General features: G+C 41.3%; 2 pseudogenes; one reads left to right on the top strand and one right to left on the bottom strand.

The window, feature by feature from the left end:
* Positions 6,235 to 7,136, bottom strand: TMEM69P2 (TMEM69 pseudogene 2; annotated as a pseudogene).
* LOC100128762 (TERF2 interacting protein pseudogene) lies at positions 7,135 to 7,817 on the top strand (annotated as a pseudogene).
* The last annotated feature ends 8,503 nt before the right edge of the window (positions 7,818 to 16,320 follow it).

Here is a 16,320-nt window from a genome sequence, read left to right as displayed (position 1 = left end):
TTCCTGTTAGTCATTTGTATGTCTTCTTTTTAGATGTGTCTATTCAGGACCTTTGCCCGTTTTAAAAACTGGATTATTTGTTTCATTGCTATTGAGTTGAGTGTTAGTTCCTTATGTATCTTGAGTACTAAAGTCTTATAAGATATATAGCTTGCAAATATTTTCTCCCAATTGATTGGCTGCCTATTCATTTTGTTGATTGTTTCCTTTGGCACGCAGAAGCTTTTTAGTTTGATGTAATGCCCCTTACTTATTTTGGCTTTTATTGCTTGTGCTTTTGGTGAATTATTTTTTAAAAAATCCTTTTCAGACTAATGTCAAGAAGTTTTCCTGTATTTTTTTTAGAATTTAAATGTTTTGAGGTATTATTTTTTAAGCTTTTAGTCCATTTTGAGTTTGTTTTTGTGTGTGGTGTAAGATAGGGGTCAGATTTCTTTTGCGGGCAGATGTCCGGTTTTACCCACATCAGTTATTGAAGAGACTATCAATTTCCCATTTTGTCTTCCTGGTGAACTTGTTGACAATTAATTGGCCATATGTGCTTGGGTTTATTTATGAGTTTCTTATTTTGTTCCATTGGTCTATGTGTTGGCTTTTATGCCAGGAGCATTCTGTTTGATTTCTGTAGCTTTGCAATACATTTTGAAGTCAGGAAGTATGATGCTCCAACCTTATTTTTCTGTCTCAATATTATTTTGATATTTAAAACTTTTTGTGGGTTTATACAAATTTTAGTATTTTTTGTTTCTGTGGAAAATGCCATTAAAATTTCTATGTAGTGTTAAACCTATCGATCATTTAGGATATATAGAAATTTTAGCAGTATTAATTCTTCCAAACCAAAACACAGGATATCTTTCTATTTATTTATTTATTTACTTATTTATTGAGAGAAGGTCTCACTCTGTCACCCACGCTGGAGTGCAGTGGTGTGATCATAGCTCACGGAACCCTCAAATTCCTGGGCTCAAGTGATCCTCCCTCCTCAGCCTCCCCATTAGCTGGAACTACAGGCATGTGCCGCAATGCCTGACTAATATTTTAGGATTTTTTTTGTTTTTGTAGAGATGGGGTCTTCTTTCTGTTTATTAATGTTCTCTTTAATTTCTTTCATCAATGTTTTATAGTTTTCAGTATACAGATCTTTTACCTGAACCAGGCATGGTGATTCACACCTGTAATCCCAACAATTTGGGAGGCCACTAGAGGACAGGAGTTTGAGACCAGTCTGGGAAACATAGCAAGACCCCATCTCTAAAAAAAAATTTTTCTTTGGAAAGGTGGTTCAGATCTTTTATTTCCCTTGTTAGATTTATTCCTATCGTTTTGTAGCTTTTGTAAATGGTATTGTTTTCTTGACTTCCTTTGTAGATATTTCTTTGTTAGTGTATAGAACCAGCTGATTTTTATGTTGATTTCACGTCTTGTAACTTTACTGAATTTATTTATTATTGCTAATAAGTTTTTTTGGTGGAATATTTACAGTTTTCTAAGTAAAGGATCATATTATATGCAAACAGAGACACTTTTACTTCTTCCTTTCTGATTCGTATGGCTTCTCTTTCTTTTTCTTGTCTGATTACTCTTGCTAGTACTTTCAGTACTGTGTTAAATAGAAGTGGCAAGAAGGAACATCCTTTTCTTTTACCAGACCTTAGCAGAAGCTTCAGTTTCCCTCATTGATAATGATATTCTTTGTGGACTTGTCATAAATGGCCTTTATTATGTTGAGGAAATTTCCTGCCATCTTTATCTGTTTGGGCTGCAATAGCAAAATCTCTTAAAATAAGAAATTATAAACACGAAAAATTTATTGCTCACAGTTCTGGAGGCCGATAAGTCCAAGATCAAGGCATTAGCTGATTCAGTGTCTGGTGAGAGCTTGTTCTCTGTTTCAAGATGGCATCTTCTTATTTTTACATGGTAGAAGGATGAACAACTCTTTTAGGCCTCTTTTATAAAGGCACTAATCCCATTTTTGAGGGAGAAACCCTCCTGACTTAATCATCTCCTAAAGCCCACACCTCTTAATACTATTGCTTTGGGGTTTAGGTTTCAACATATGAACTTTAGAGACACAAACATTCATACCACAGCATCTTCTATATCTATTTTCCTTGGATTTTTTAACCATGAAAGGATATTAAACTTCATCAAATGTGCTTATTGCATCTATAGAGATGATTATGTGGTTTTAATCTTTCATTCTCTTAATGTGGTTTATCATATTGATTGTTTTGCATGTACTAAACCAACCTTGTATCCCAATGATAAATCTCACTTGGTCATGGTGTATAAACTTTTTGATGTGTTGTTGAATTTGGTTTGCTAGCAATTTATCAAAGATGTTTTGCATGTATGTTAATCAGAGATATTGGTCTGTAGTTTTTTTTACTTGTGGTGTGTTTGGTTTTGGTATTAGAGTACTGCTGGACTCATAAAGCGGTTAGAAGTGTTTCCTCTATTTTTATTTTTTGGAAAAGTTTAAGAAGGATTGGTGTTATTTCTTCTTTGAATGTTTGGTAGAATTCAGTTGTGAAGCCAATTGGTCTTGGATTTTTCTTTGCTGGGAGGCATTTTATTACTACTTTAATATCTTTGTAATTGGTATGTTCCGGCTTTCCATTTATTCTTGGTTCAGCCTTAGTAGGTTGTATGTTTCTAGGAATTTACCCATTTCCTCTATGTTATCCAATTTGTTGGCATATAATTGTTCATAATAGTCTCTTATGATCCTTTTTATTTCGAGGGATCTGTTGTAATGTCTCCTCTTTAATTCTGCTTTTGTTTCTTTACTTTTTTTCTTAGTATAGCTAAGAGTTTGCCAATTTTATTCTTCTCTAAAAGGCAATTTTTATTTTTGGTATTTTTCTATAGTTTTTCTACTTTCCGTTTGACTTTTTTCTATTCTAATCCCTATTATTTTCTTCCTTTTGCCAGCTTTGGCTTAGCTGCTTCTTCTTTTTCTAGTTCCTTGATGTGTACAGTTAGGTTGTTTATTTGATATCTTTCCACTTCTTAAATTTAGGCATTTATCACTACAAACTTTCTTCATACTACTGCTTTTATTGCATCCCATAACTTTTAGTATGTTTTTTCAGTTTTATTCAGTTCAAGATGTATTTAAAATTCTCTTTTTGATCCAGTAGTTTTTAAGATTATGTTAGTTTCCATGTATTTGTGAATTGTCCACCTTTCTTCGTTATTGATTTCTAGTTCCACTTCATTGTGGTCAGAAAAGATACTTCATACAATTTTGATCTCCTTAAATTTGTTAAAACTTGTCTTGTGGCTTCACATGTGATGTATTTTGGAGAATGTTCCTTGTAAGCTTAAAAAGAATGTGTATTCTTCTGCTGTTGGGTGAAAAGTTCTGTACATGTCTGTTAAGTCCATTTGGCTAACGGTGTTGTTCAAGTTCACTATTTCTTGATTTTCTGCCTGGATATTCAATTTAATACTGAAAGTGGAGTGTTAAAGTTTCCTATTATTGTTCTACTGCTGTCAATTTCTCCTTTCTTCTCTCTCAATGTTAACTTTAGGTGCTGTAAAGTTGGTTGCATATACGTTTACAATTATTCTATCTTCCTGTTTAATACACCCTTTTATCATTACGTAATAACCTTCTTTGTCTCTAGGGACAACTTTTGACTTAAAGTTTACTTTGTCTGATATATGTATAGCCACTCCTATTTTCTTTTGATTACCGTTTGCATGGTAACATATCCCTCTTATCTAACAAAAGTTTTGTACTCCTTGGCAAACATCTCCCTATTGCCTCCCCTGCCCCCAGCCTCTGGTAGTCACCATTCTACTCTGCTTCTGAGTTAAGCTTTTTTGCATTCCACATATAATTAAGAGCATGCAGTATTTGTCTTTCTGTGCCTGGCTTATTCGTTTAGCATGATGTTCTCCAGATTCATCCATGTTGTCACAAATAAGAGGAATATTTTCTTTTTAAAAATCAGTAGTGGCTCAGTCAGTCGCTCTGTGCGTGCCATGGCGCTCGGGAGGGGGCGGCTCCTCTGGTGCCCGGCGTCAAACATGGTGGAGGCGGTGGATCTGGGCAAAGACCCCAACGGGCCCAACCATTCCTCGATTCTGTTCACCAGGGAGGACGGCAACTCTAGGTCCTTATACCTGCTGCCCAGCCCAGCCAAGCAGCTGCTGCACCACTCGGTGCAGGAACCCAGGCCACACCGCTGGCCCAGCCTGGGGACGCCTCCAGCAGCTTTGTTGTCTGCGCAGTGCGTCCCGGACCGCGTAGAACGCTGCAGCGGCTGGAGCTGGCGGCCTATGGGCTGGGCCCCGCCTACGCGGCCCACTCGGGCACCGGCGGTGGGGGGGGGGGGTCCCTGGCAGAGCGCGCCGTGGAGCCCAAGCCGTAGTCGCTGGTGGGGCCGCCTTCAGGGATGCGGGTGACGTGGCTTTTCAGGCCTACGTGAAGGAAAATGCCTGCTCGCCCTGTTCGGTCGCGGGCAAAGCCTGTGGGAAGCGATGGAGGAAAGCCGGCTCGCGGAAGAAAGGCCCCTCAGAACCTATGGGGCCAGGAGCAGGGAATGCCCCAGGAGCCCCCGCTGCGCTCCCAGACGCTCAAGCAGAAGGCAGAGCAGGACCCGGAGCCTGAGGATTGCCGGGAACCATGGAATAAGAGAATTCCAGCTTTGCCTGAAGAACATGTGAAGGAAGAAACCCAGAAGCATGAAGCAGCCATCAAAAAACATGCCTGCGGAAGCCACCAGGGAGTTGGATGAGAGCCCTGATTTTTTTTTTTTAATTTTTTTATTTTATATTTTTCAAGACAGTTAAAGCATTGAAATGTTTAAGCGGGTGACTATATAATTCATAACATGACTCAGTGAAAACAAATTTAGTATGAGACTGAGAGGTGACAACGTGCTGGTGACCCGTGCTCGCTCTCAGTGCTTCCTGGGCTTCCATTCTGGCCACCTTGAGGAGCCCTTCAACCCGCCGCTGCACTGTGGGAGCCCCTGTCTGGGCTGGCCGAGGCTGGAGCCGGATCCCTCTGCTTGTGGGGAGCTGTGGAGGGAGAAGCATGGGTGGGAACCGGGACTGTGGTGGCGCTCGCAGGACCCAGGCCAGCAGCTGTGGAGGGTGCGTGGGGTCCCCCAGCACTGCCAGCCCACCCACGCCCTGCTCGATTTCTTGCCAGGCCTCAGCCGCCTCTGGCGGGGCAGGGCTCGGGACCGGCAGCCCGCCATGCCTGAGTCCCGCCCCCCCAACCTGCACGGTGGGCTCCTGCGGGCCCGACCCTCCACGACTGCAGCGTCCGGTCCCATCAAGTGCCCAAGGGCTGAGGAGTGCAGGCGTGCTGCGCAGAACTGGCGGGCAGCTCCACTTGTGGCCCCTGCAGGGGATCCACTGGGTAAGCCAGCTGGGCTCCTGGGTCGGGTGAGGACTTGGAGAACTTTTATGTCTAGAGGGAGAAGTGTATATGCACCAGTCAGCACTCTGTGTCTAGCTAGGGATTTGCAGATGCACCAATCAGCATTCTATCTAGCTAATCTGGTGGGGACTTGGAGAACTTTTATGTCTAGCTGGAGGATTGTAAATGCACCAATCAGCACTTTGTGTCTAGCTCAGGGATTGTAAATGCACCAGTCAGCACCCTGTCAAAATGGACCAATCAGCTCTCTGTAAAATGGACCAATCAGCAGGATGTGGGTGGGGTCAGATAAGGGAATAAAAGCGGCTGCCAGAGCCAGCACCGGCAACCAGTTTGGGTCACCTTCTGCCCTGGGCAAGCTTTGTTCTTTAGCTCTTTGCAGTAAATTATGCTGCTGCCCACTGTTTGGGTCTGCAGTGCCTTTGTGAGCTGTGATACTCATCTCTAAGGTCTGCAGCTTCACTCCTGAAGCCAGAGAGACCACGAACCCACCAGAAGGAAGAAACTCCAAACACGTCCGAATATCAGAAGGAACAAACTCCAGACACACCATCTTTAAGAACTGTAACACCGTGAGGGTCTGTGGCTTCATTCGTGAAGTCAGGGAGACCAAGAACCCACCAATTCTGGACACAAGATGAAAATGACTTGTCAGGGATTTTCGTGCTCCTGCTTAAGTAATTACTATGAAGTAACAGTTTCTGGAAATGAAGAATAATGTGTGAAGAATAAATTACCATTGGTGTGGGGGAGGGGAGAGGCAAACAGGAGAAGTAGAAAAAGGTGTAGCCAGTGTACCAGTGTTATCTACAGTGTAGTTCTATGCCTTTTCTACTTGACCAGGTCGCTTAGGTCCATTCTGTGGGTAAATATTTTTAACACTAAAGTGATTATAAATGAAAAAGTGGCCAATAAAGTGACTACTTTCCTCAGGGCTTTGAACCAGTTGGGATAATGTGGCAAAAGAAACAGATGTGTAATGCTATCCCCGTTACCTATGATTGCTATGGCTTCGCTGAGTCTTTCAGAAATAAGGCAAACCGTGAAAACAACAGGAACTGTACTATTAGCTAAATGAAGGAAGTCGGGTTTGGCTGGACTGCCTTCTGATACAGCAAAACCCCATCTGACCACCACAAGGATAGGAAACTGGCTCCATCTGAGTAAAGGCTAATAGGGGAATATAAGTCTTTGTCATTAGCAGGACCAGTGGTGGACCAATGAAGGGGATTAGTCCTGCCAGAGTTACCTATAATGCTGGCTTTGGGCTGTCAGGCAGGTACATGATGGTGCTTGGTGGCCTGGCTGGAAGTACTGCTTACTCCTGCTTTTTAAAGTTGCAGGGGGATGTATGATAGCATTGTGTCTTGTTCATATACACTGGAAATGTTGGGAAAATCCAAGGCCTCGGAAACAAAGGGGAAAAGTTCTGCTGGAGAGACGTCTTGAGAGAACGTGTATCTGTTCCTCTGCTGGCTCCTAGTCCCACTGCAAAAGAGTACTTAAGCATCTTAGCAGATGCTTGAGAAAACTTCAGGATGAAGCGAAACATACTGGGCCCTATTGAAAGTCTTGTTCAGGAGGATGCCAGGCAGTTCTGATTAACGTATTGTTACAGCTAAATGGAGGCATTGGATCAGAGGCATGGTTTTGTTAGCATCTCGCAGAAAGATGGAAAACTGAACTGCGAGAACCGTCCAGGACTCCTGGAAAGGCAATTCCTACAAGTGGATCAAGAGCCCTGATTTTGAAATACATATAACAATGTGTGATGATAATCCACCCATGCCTGAGGAAGACAGAAGGACAGCAGGAGGGTGAGAATGGGGAAGAGGAGGAGGGGGAGAGACAGAAGAGGAGGGGGAGAGACAGAGGAGGAGGGAGAGAGATAGAGGAGGAGGGAGAGAGACAGAGGAGGAGGGGGACTTTCTCCACCAGGGGTGGGAGCTTGCCATTAAGATCATTCGGCAGTTAATGGAAAAATTTAACTTGGATCTACCAACAGTTACACAGGCCTTCTTAAAAAATAATGGTGAGTTGGAGGCTACTTCCTCCTTCTTAGCGGCTGGTCAGAGAGCTGATAGATACCCCATTTGGTCCCAACAAGGTGACATAGATCTGCAAAAAGATGATGAGGATACCAGAGATGCATTGGTCAAAAAACTTAGTGCTCAGAATGTAGCTTGGAGGATTGAGTTTTAAAAGAAATAATTGGCAAGGTAAAGAGAAAAAAAAGTCGTGGCAGAAGTGGTTAAAAAAAAATTGTGACCATTGAACTTTAGAGAGTTCTTGCGTTCGAACTGGCACTTACCTTCTGACCAATGCTGCCATTGCTGTGAGAGTCCTAGATTTTGTAGCCAGAGTTGTGTAGCAGGGATAAAAAGAAAAGAAATTGGATATACATAGAGCTCTCCTTGGCAAGGGTCAATGTGTTTATGAAAGCAAAATCTAAACCAGAGAGGAGTTGGTCCTCAGTAGTAATCCTTTGCTGGAATGAACCCTTGCTATATTAGTGACAGAGTCAAAGGAAATTTAGGAGGCGTAGGCCATTTCAGGCAGCATAAGCGATCTCCTTTCCTTTGGCAGAAGCTCCTTAAAATTGTGACAGATTCCATATCAAGAATCTGGAAATACGGAAAGATTTCATTATGAGGCCTTGAACATGGATTATCTCCAAACCTAGTGAGCTCTGATTTCTAGACTGCTTTGAAAAATCCCATATTCATTTTGCTTAGTATTTGGGGACACTACTCCTTGGCTGTTCTTTTCTTTGAGCCCTTCTCAGTCGTGTCTGTAGGATGTCTTTCTTTACCTACGACTCAGTTTTGTTTAAAACACACACACAACCATAGAGAATCTCAAGAATAATCGTACTCCATTAATAATAATGTTTTTATTTATTGAGCATAGTTTGTTCTAAGCATTGTGTTAGATTTAAAAATTAGTGCATTGACTCCACTTCGTTTTTTTGGTTTTTGGTTTTTTGGTTTTTTTTCGGTTTTGAGACGGAGTTTTGCTTTTGTCGCCCAGGCTGGAGTGCAGTGGCACGATCTCGACTCACTGCAACCTCCGCCTCCCAGTTTCAAGTGATCCTCCTGCCTCAGCTTCCCAAGTACCTGGGATTACAGGTGCATACCACCACGCCCAGGTAATTTTTGTCTTTTTAGTACAGACAGGGTTTCACCGTGTTGGCCAGGCTGGTCTTGACCTCCTGACCTCAGGTAATCCACCCCCCTCGGCCTCCCAAAGTGCTGGGATTACAGGCGTGAGCCACCACGCCCAACCTGACTCTACTTTGTTTTGCTATTTACTGAAAATGAATATAACTTTGTATTTGAAAAAAATTGAACAGTATTCCATTGTGTATATATACCACATTTTCTTCCTCCATTCATCCACTGATGGATGCATAGGTTGACTCCATATCTTAGTTCTTGTTAATAATTCTGCAGTGAACATGGGACAGCATATACCTCTTTAGCACATTGATTTCAATCTTTTGATATTTACCCAGTAGGGGGATTGCTAGATAATAATGGTATTTCTATTTTTAGTCTTTGAGGAACTTCCATACGGGTTTAGATAATGGCTATACTAATTTACATTCCCACCATTAATGTACAGGATTCATAGTTTTGTCAACACTTGTTAGTTTTTGTCTTTTTGATGATAGCCATTCTATTAGCTATGAGGTAATATCTTCTTGTGTTTTTAATTTTTATTTCCCTGATGATTAGTGATGTTGAATGTTTTTAAATGAAACTATTGGTCATTTATATGTTTTTTGAGAAACGTCTCCTCAGGTTCTTTGCCCGTTTTACAACTGTGTTATTTTTCTAACTATTGAGTTTTTACGTTCCTTATAAATTTTGGATATTATCCTCATCAGATATATGCTTTGAAAATATTACTCTTACTCTACAGTTGTCTCTTCACTTTGTTAACTGTTTACTTCACTGTGAGAAGCATTTTAGTTTAATGCTATTCCATCTGTATTTTTGCTTTCATTGCCTGTGCCTTCGGGGTGATACTCAAAAAATAATTACTCAGGTCTATGTCGTGGAGCTTTTACCTTCTTTTTTTCTAGCACTTTTACAGTTTCAGGCCTTATATTTAAGTCTTTATTTTGAGTTTATTTTTATACATGGTGTGAGGTAAGTTCTTAAATTCTTTCTTCTGCGTGTGGGTATCCAGGTTTTCCAAGACCATTCATTGAGGAGACTGTTCTTTCCCCATTGTGTGTTGTATACATCTTGATTAATCAATTGTTTATAAATTCATGGATGTTCACTGGACTCTATATCCTGCTTCTTTGGTTGACATGTCTGTTTTTATGCCAGAAACATGATGTTTTGATTACTATAGCTTTGTAGTGTATATTTAAGTCAGGTAATGTGATGTCTCTAGCTTTGTTGGTTTTGGTCAAGATTGCTTTGGCTATTTGGGGTGTTTTGTGGTTCCATGTAAATTTTAAGATTTTTTTTCTAATTACGTGAAAAGTATTATTAAAATTTTGACAGGGATTCTATTGAATTTGTACATTGTTTAAGGATAGTATGGACATTTTAATATTACATCTTCTGAATTATGAACATGGAATAACTTTCTGTTTGTGTTTTTACCAATTTCTTTATCAATGTCTTGTAGTTTTCTGCATATAGATCTTTCATCTTAAATAAATTCACTCCTAAGTATTATTTTTTGTAGCTATCATAAATGGGATTATATATTAATTTCCTTTTTGGATAGTTTGTTAGTGTACAGGAACACTACTGATTTTTACAATATGATTTTGTTTCCTACAACTTTGCTGAATTAGTTTATCAGTTATAACAGGTTTTGGTGGAGCGTTTAGGTATTTCTATATACACTATCATGTTGTTAGCAAACAGATAATTGCATTCCTTCCTTTCCAATTAAGATGCCCTTTATTTCTTATTCTTGCCTAATTTCTCTGGCTAGAACATCTAGTACTATGTTGAAAAGAAGTGGAAAGAGTGGGTATTCTTGTCTTGTCCTTGATTATTGAGGAAAAGCTTTCAACTTTTCACCACTGAGTATGTTGTTAGATGTGGGCTTGTTATATACGGTCTTCATTGTGATAAGGTACATTTCTTCCATACCTAATTTGTTGAAAGTTTTTATGGTGGAAGAAAGTGTTGAATTTTGTAAAGTGCATTTCCTGCATCCATTGAGATGATCATATGGTGTTTGTCCTTCGTTTTGTTAATGTGATGTGTCACATTTATTGATTTACATATGTTGAACCATTCTTGCATGCCTAGGATAAATCTCACTTGATTACAGTGCATGATCTTTTTAGTTTTGTTAAATTCAGTTTGCTAATATTTTGTTGAGGAGTTTTGCATATTTATTCTTCAGGAATAGTGGCCTGACCCTGTGTATCCAGTCCCAGGTTAGCCCCTGAAGCCTCAGGACCCAAGCCAGCCATCTCAAACCTAGCCACTAGCTTAGCACGGATACATTTAGCCTGAAGACCAACACCAGTGGACACAGGCTCCAGGACAGCTACTGTGGCTTCAGTGACAAGGCCAGCACTGACAATCCTAGGCCCCAGGCCAGTTCCTGCAGATTCAGGCTCCATGCCATCCTCAGTACTAGGATGTTCTCAGGCTCTAGACCAGTCTCAGCTGCTCCATGACCCAGAGTCTGCTCCAGCAGACTCAAGGTGCAGGGACATTAGACTCCAGTGCCAGGAAGGATTCTATGAATTGAAGTTCTAAGTCCACTCCTGAAGACAAAGGCTTTGGGCCAGCCACCATGGATTCCAACTTCAAGGACATTTTACTGGTCTCAGTTGCCAGGTCAGCCCCAGAACAAGGCCAGTCCTTTTGGGCTCAGGTTCCAGGCCCATTCCAGTGGATCCAGATGCCAGAGCCATCGTTGTGCCTATCCAGCCCCTGCAGACTCAGGCTCAAGGCCCACACCAGCACCGGGTCATCCCTGTGGATCTAGACCTTAGGCAGCTCCAGCAGATACAGGCTCACCCTCATAGACACAGCCTCTAGGACCATCCCCACAGACTCAATCAATAGGTCTACCTAAGGGGATCAAGGTTTCAGGCCAAACCCACAGACCTAGAAGTCAGTTCTTCCCACCTGCTGACTCAGGCACCAGGCTGGCCTGCCAAAGGACTCTTGTAGCAACGCTGACCTCAGACCATCACAGAGACCCTTGCTAAAATCTCTAGATGAGATGACTGGTGAAAATGTTTCCCAGACAAATCCAGTCTGCAAAGACTGGAATAATCTTTACTTTGTCAAATGTGCAGACATCAACATAAAGCAAAAAGAAACAGGAAAAACTAAAGAGATATAATACCACTAAAGGAACACAATAAACTCCCAGTGCCAAACTCCAAAAAAATGAGGATATACAAACTGCCTGACAAAATATTTAAAATAATAGTTTTAAGGAAGCTCAGTGAACTTCAAGAAAGTAGAAACGATTCAATGAAATCATAAAAATAATAAATGACCAAAATAAGAAATTTAACAGATATTTAAATTATTTATAAAATCAAACAGATATTCTGGAGTTGAAAAATACAATTAATGAAATTTAAAGAGTATCAATAGCAGAATTGATCAAACAGAAGAAAGAATATGTGAACTCTAAGACAGTTTATTTGAAAATATACAGTCAGAGGAGGAAAATAGTACAAAAGGAATGGAGAAAGTTTATAAGACCTATGGAATGGTATCAGAAGAGCAAATGTTTGAATTATAGGAGTTTGTGAGGAGCAGAGAAAGATAAAGGGATAGAAGGAGTAAAGAAATAACAGCAGAAAACTTTCCAAATACAATAAAAGCTATAGATATCCAGATACAAGAATATCAAAGGTCTGCAATAAGTTTCAATCCAGACCAGAAATATAGCAAGACTTATTATAACCCAACTGTAATAAGTGAAGAACAAAGAGGGAATCCTGAAACTAAGATAAAATAACTAAATAACACATATGGTGGTTTGAATGAGGCTTGGACCCATTAGCAGATTTCTCAACAGAGAATGTGGGATGATACAGTCAAAGTGCTGAAGCAAGCAAACAAACAACAACAAAAACTACCTACCAAGAATAATGTACAAGGAAAATTGTCTTTTGGAAATGAAGGAGAAATTGAAACAAGTAAAAGCTGAGGAAAGACCAAGATGGCTGCCTACAGGCACCCAGCACTCACCTCCTCCACAAGGAAGAACCAAAACAGCATGTAGGTAATCACACATTGAATATAGCGTGTAGGGAAGAAATGCTGGAATCCAGAAGGGAAGCAACTGAAACACTCTGAGGCATGAAAGCTTGAGATGGCAGCACAGAGGGGGAAGTGAGGCATCCAGTCAGATTAGCGCAGAGCCAGGAGGGACTCCCATCGGAGGAAAAGGCAAGTAAGAGATCCTCAGCAGTCCACATGCCAGAGTCCTGTAGTACATGCTACAGGAAAGCCCCTCAGCCCTCAAAGGCCCTGAGTAGTATAGGGATTTGCCTGGGGTCCATGTGACTGCACTGTTCCACGGAAGGAGTTCATGCAATATTACATCCCCAGGACCCAATCAACTGCAGCATGACATCATTTTGAGAACAGACCCAATACAAGACAACATTCTGCACCATGGCTTAATAGCCCCTGCATCTCCACATCCCTGGGGTCCCACTAGCATCCTCTCATATCCACCCAGAAGTCTGCAGCATCAGAGCATTAGCTGGACCGAGATGTGCAGTAAATCTGAACCCATGGAGCACTCTAAACCTGGAAGCAGGCATTCCTGCACATCAGACAGTCTGTGCTGAGAACATAGAGAATGGAAATACGCACTCCCCAGAACTTGAGAGCCGCCTTCCTGGGTCCACCACCACAAACAGTTACTCTGTTCCCTTCAGTAATTATATAAATAAAGTTTATAAGCTATTTTTAATTTTTAGTTATTTCTTTATAGTTAAACAGTTAATCTTTCAAGAAAAAAAATGAAATAACTCAGAAAAAAAATCAAAGAGTGAAGAAATCCTATATGACATATGGGACACAATCAAGTGAACAAAACCTCAAATGTTGGGAGTTCCAGAAGGTACAAACATGGCAAAAGGCATAGAAAACCGATTTAAAGATAATAGCTGAAAAGTTCTCATGTCTTCGAAGAGATGAAGACATTCATATGCGGGAAGATCAAAGAATCCCAAATAGACACAACCCAAAATGTCTTCTCGGAGGCACATTATACTCAAATTGTCAAAAGTCAAAGACAAAGAAAGAATTGTAAAAATGTCAAGAGGAAAGCATCAAGTCACATGAATCTCCATCAGATTAACAGCATATTTCTCAGCAAAAACCTCTAGGCCAAGAGAGAATGGGATAATATATTCAAAGCCCTGAAAGAAAAAGAAAAAACTGTCAGGCAAAAATACGATACCTAGCAAAGTTATCCTTCAGAAATGAAAGAGGAATAAAGTCTTTCCCAGAAAAACAAAATCTGAGCAAATTCATTATCACTAGACAGGCCTTTGAGAAATGCTTAAATGCACTTCCTGCATCTAGAAGTGAAAGGATGATATCTCCCATCACGAAAACACACAAAAGTATGAAACTCACTGGAAGAAGCAGATACACAAATGAGAAAAAGAGAGGAATCAAATGTCATCACTATAGAAAGCCATCAAATTGCAAAGATAAGCAATAAGAGAATAAGAAAGGAACAAGGATATACAAAACAATTAAAAGGCAATTAACAAAATAATAAGAAGTAGTTATCAATAACAGCCTTGAAAGTAAACATATTAAATCCCACAATTAAAAGGTTTTTTCCCAAGATGGTGGATTAGAGGCATTGTTAGCATGCCTCTCCTACTTGGAAAGACAAAATAGTGTCTAGACATACACAGTGTGAATTTTTTTCTAGTAAGCAGGCAAGAACTTAACAGGAAAACTGAAAGAAACCACAAACTCTTTGAAAGAAGTGGCAGGCTGCAGCCTACACAATGAGTCAGGCAGAAAACTGTAAGTCCTCAAAGTGTGAGGGGGGATAAACTGCCCCCAAGATATACACTGCGACGTGGGAACCTGACAATACAGGCCGGAGGGGAAGGCCTTAATTCTATCCAGCCCTGAAACTGGTTTAGGGAGTAGTGGGGAACAAAAAATTAGGAGCACCAGCACAAGAGCCTTGCATGCATTCCCAGCCTCCAGTGTGGACGAAGGAAGCCATTCCTGATCCTGCCTCCCAGGGGACCTCACAGAAGTCGGCCAGCTTATTCAGGCAGCAGTCACAGGTTAAGAAAAGCTTCTAACTAAAATTCATGATATTCTCTCGAGTGGGGATGAACTTTCTTTGCCAGAAGTGGGAGGTGAGTGAAAAGCGTGCTGCATCCATGAGTGCAGAAGCTGGGCACCCTGGCTTTGCTGGCAGACTGGGAAGGGCATGGCCTAAATGCCGCAGTTGCTGTCTCTGCCAGAAAGGCTTATGGCCTGGAGCAGTTTTGAGTTCTGAGCACAAACTGCCTGGAACTTAGCTAGCCGCTGCTAGTGGAACACTCTGGGCGTGAGGTTTGCCTTGCCAAGTACGTGGGACTGTGTGGGGCTTATGCCACCTGCTACTCCCCACTCCCTGTGTAAACTCTTCTGTGCAATAGAGGCAGCTGCACCCCTCCCTGGAACATTGTCCTAGTGGCAAGAGAACCACCCTCAACCCCCACAAGAGCCATTGTTTGCCTTGCATGTGGAGAGCCAGCACGTGGACCCGCCTGACCCAGCCTCCACCTGGTTTTGCCCCTCCACCTACCCTGGTAGCTTAACACAAAGGACGGAAACTTTTGGGAATTTTATGGCCCCTCCCATTGCCTGAGACACCACAGTACCCCCTGGGTAACATAAGGCAAGTATAAATCCCACTGCTACTACCGCAGCTGGTGCTCTTTTCCAAGCAACACCTCCAAGCTAGAGGCCAACTGACACAGTCAGTCCATTACAGCAGCTCCAGGAGGAGTAACAGAGCACCCAGGAAGAAGAACACTTGTGTGTGACCTCAGCTATCACCATTTCCCACAGTGTCCTGACTAACCAGTGGGTCCTAGTCTGTCCAGGTGAACAGTTCATTACTACCGTAACCAACATTTGAGAAAGCCAATATACTAAGCCTATTTATAACAAAGGAATCTCAGAGTCTACGTTACTCCCCTGCCACCCTCATCAGAGCTGGTGCTGGTACCCATTGCTGGGAGACTTGGGGACAGGTTACATCACTGATGGCTTTACTGACAAATTCTACCAAACTTTAAAAGAAGAATTAATACCATTTCTACTCAAACTATTTGCAAAAGTTGTAGAGGCAGGATCTCTCCCTAAGTCATTCTATGTGGCCAGCATTGCCCTCATACCAAAGCTAGACAAAGACACAACAAAAAAAGAAAACTACAAGCCAATATCTTGAATGAACACAGATGCAAAAATACTAGCAAACCAATTCCAACAACACAGCAAAAAGATAACACACCATGATCAAGTGGAATTTATCCCAGGGATGCAAGGATGGATTAATACACACAAATCAATAAATGGGATACACCACATGAACAGAATGAAGGACAAAAACCATATGATCATCTCAATAGACTCAGAAGTAGCATTTTACATGATTCAACGTGCCTTCATGATGAAACTGGATATACAAAGAAAATACCTCAACACAATAAAGACCATGTATGACAAATCCACAGCTAACATCATACTTATTAGGAGAAAAACCTGAAAGCCTTTCTTCTAAGAGCTAGAAGAAGACAGAGGTGTCCACTTTCAATACTTTTATTCAGCATAGTACTGGAAGCCCTAGCAAGAGCAATTAGGCGAGGGAAAGAAATAAAGTCCATTCAAATTGGAAAGGAAGAAGTTAAATCGTTCTTGTTT

This window comes from Homo sapiens, chromosome 5 (assembly GCF_000001405.40).
Source record: "Homo sapiens chromosome 5, GRCh38.p14 Primary Assembly".
NCBI lineage: Eukaryota > Metazoa > Chordata > Mammalia > Primates > Hominidae > Homo > Homo sapiens.
This window is presented reverse-complemented; position numbering and strand designations above follow the sequence as displayed.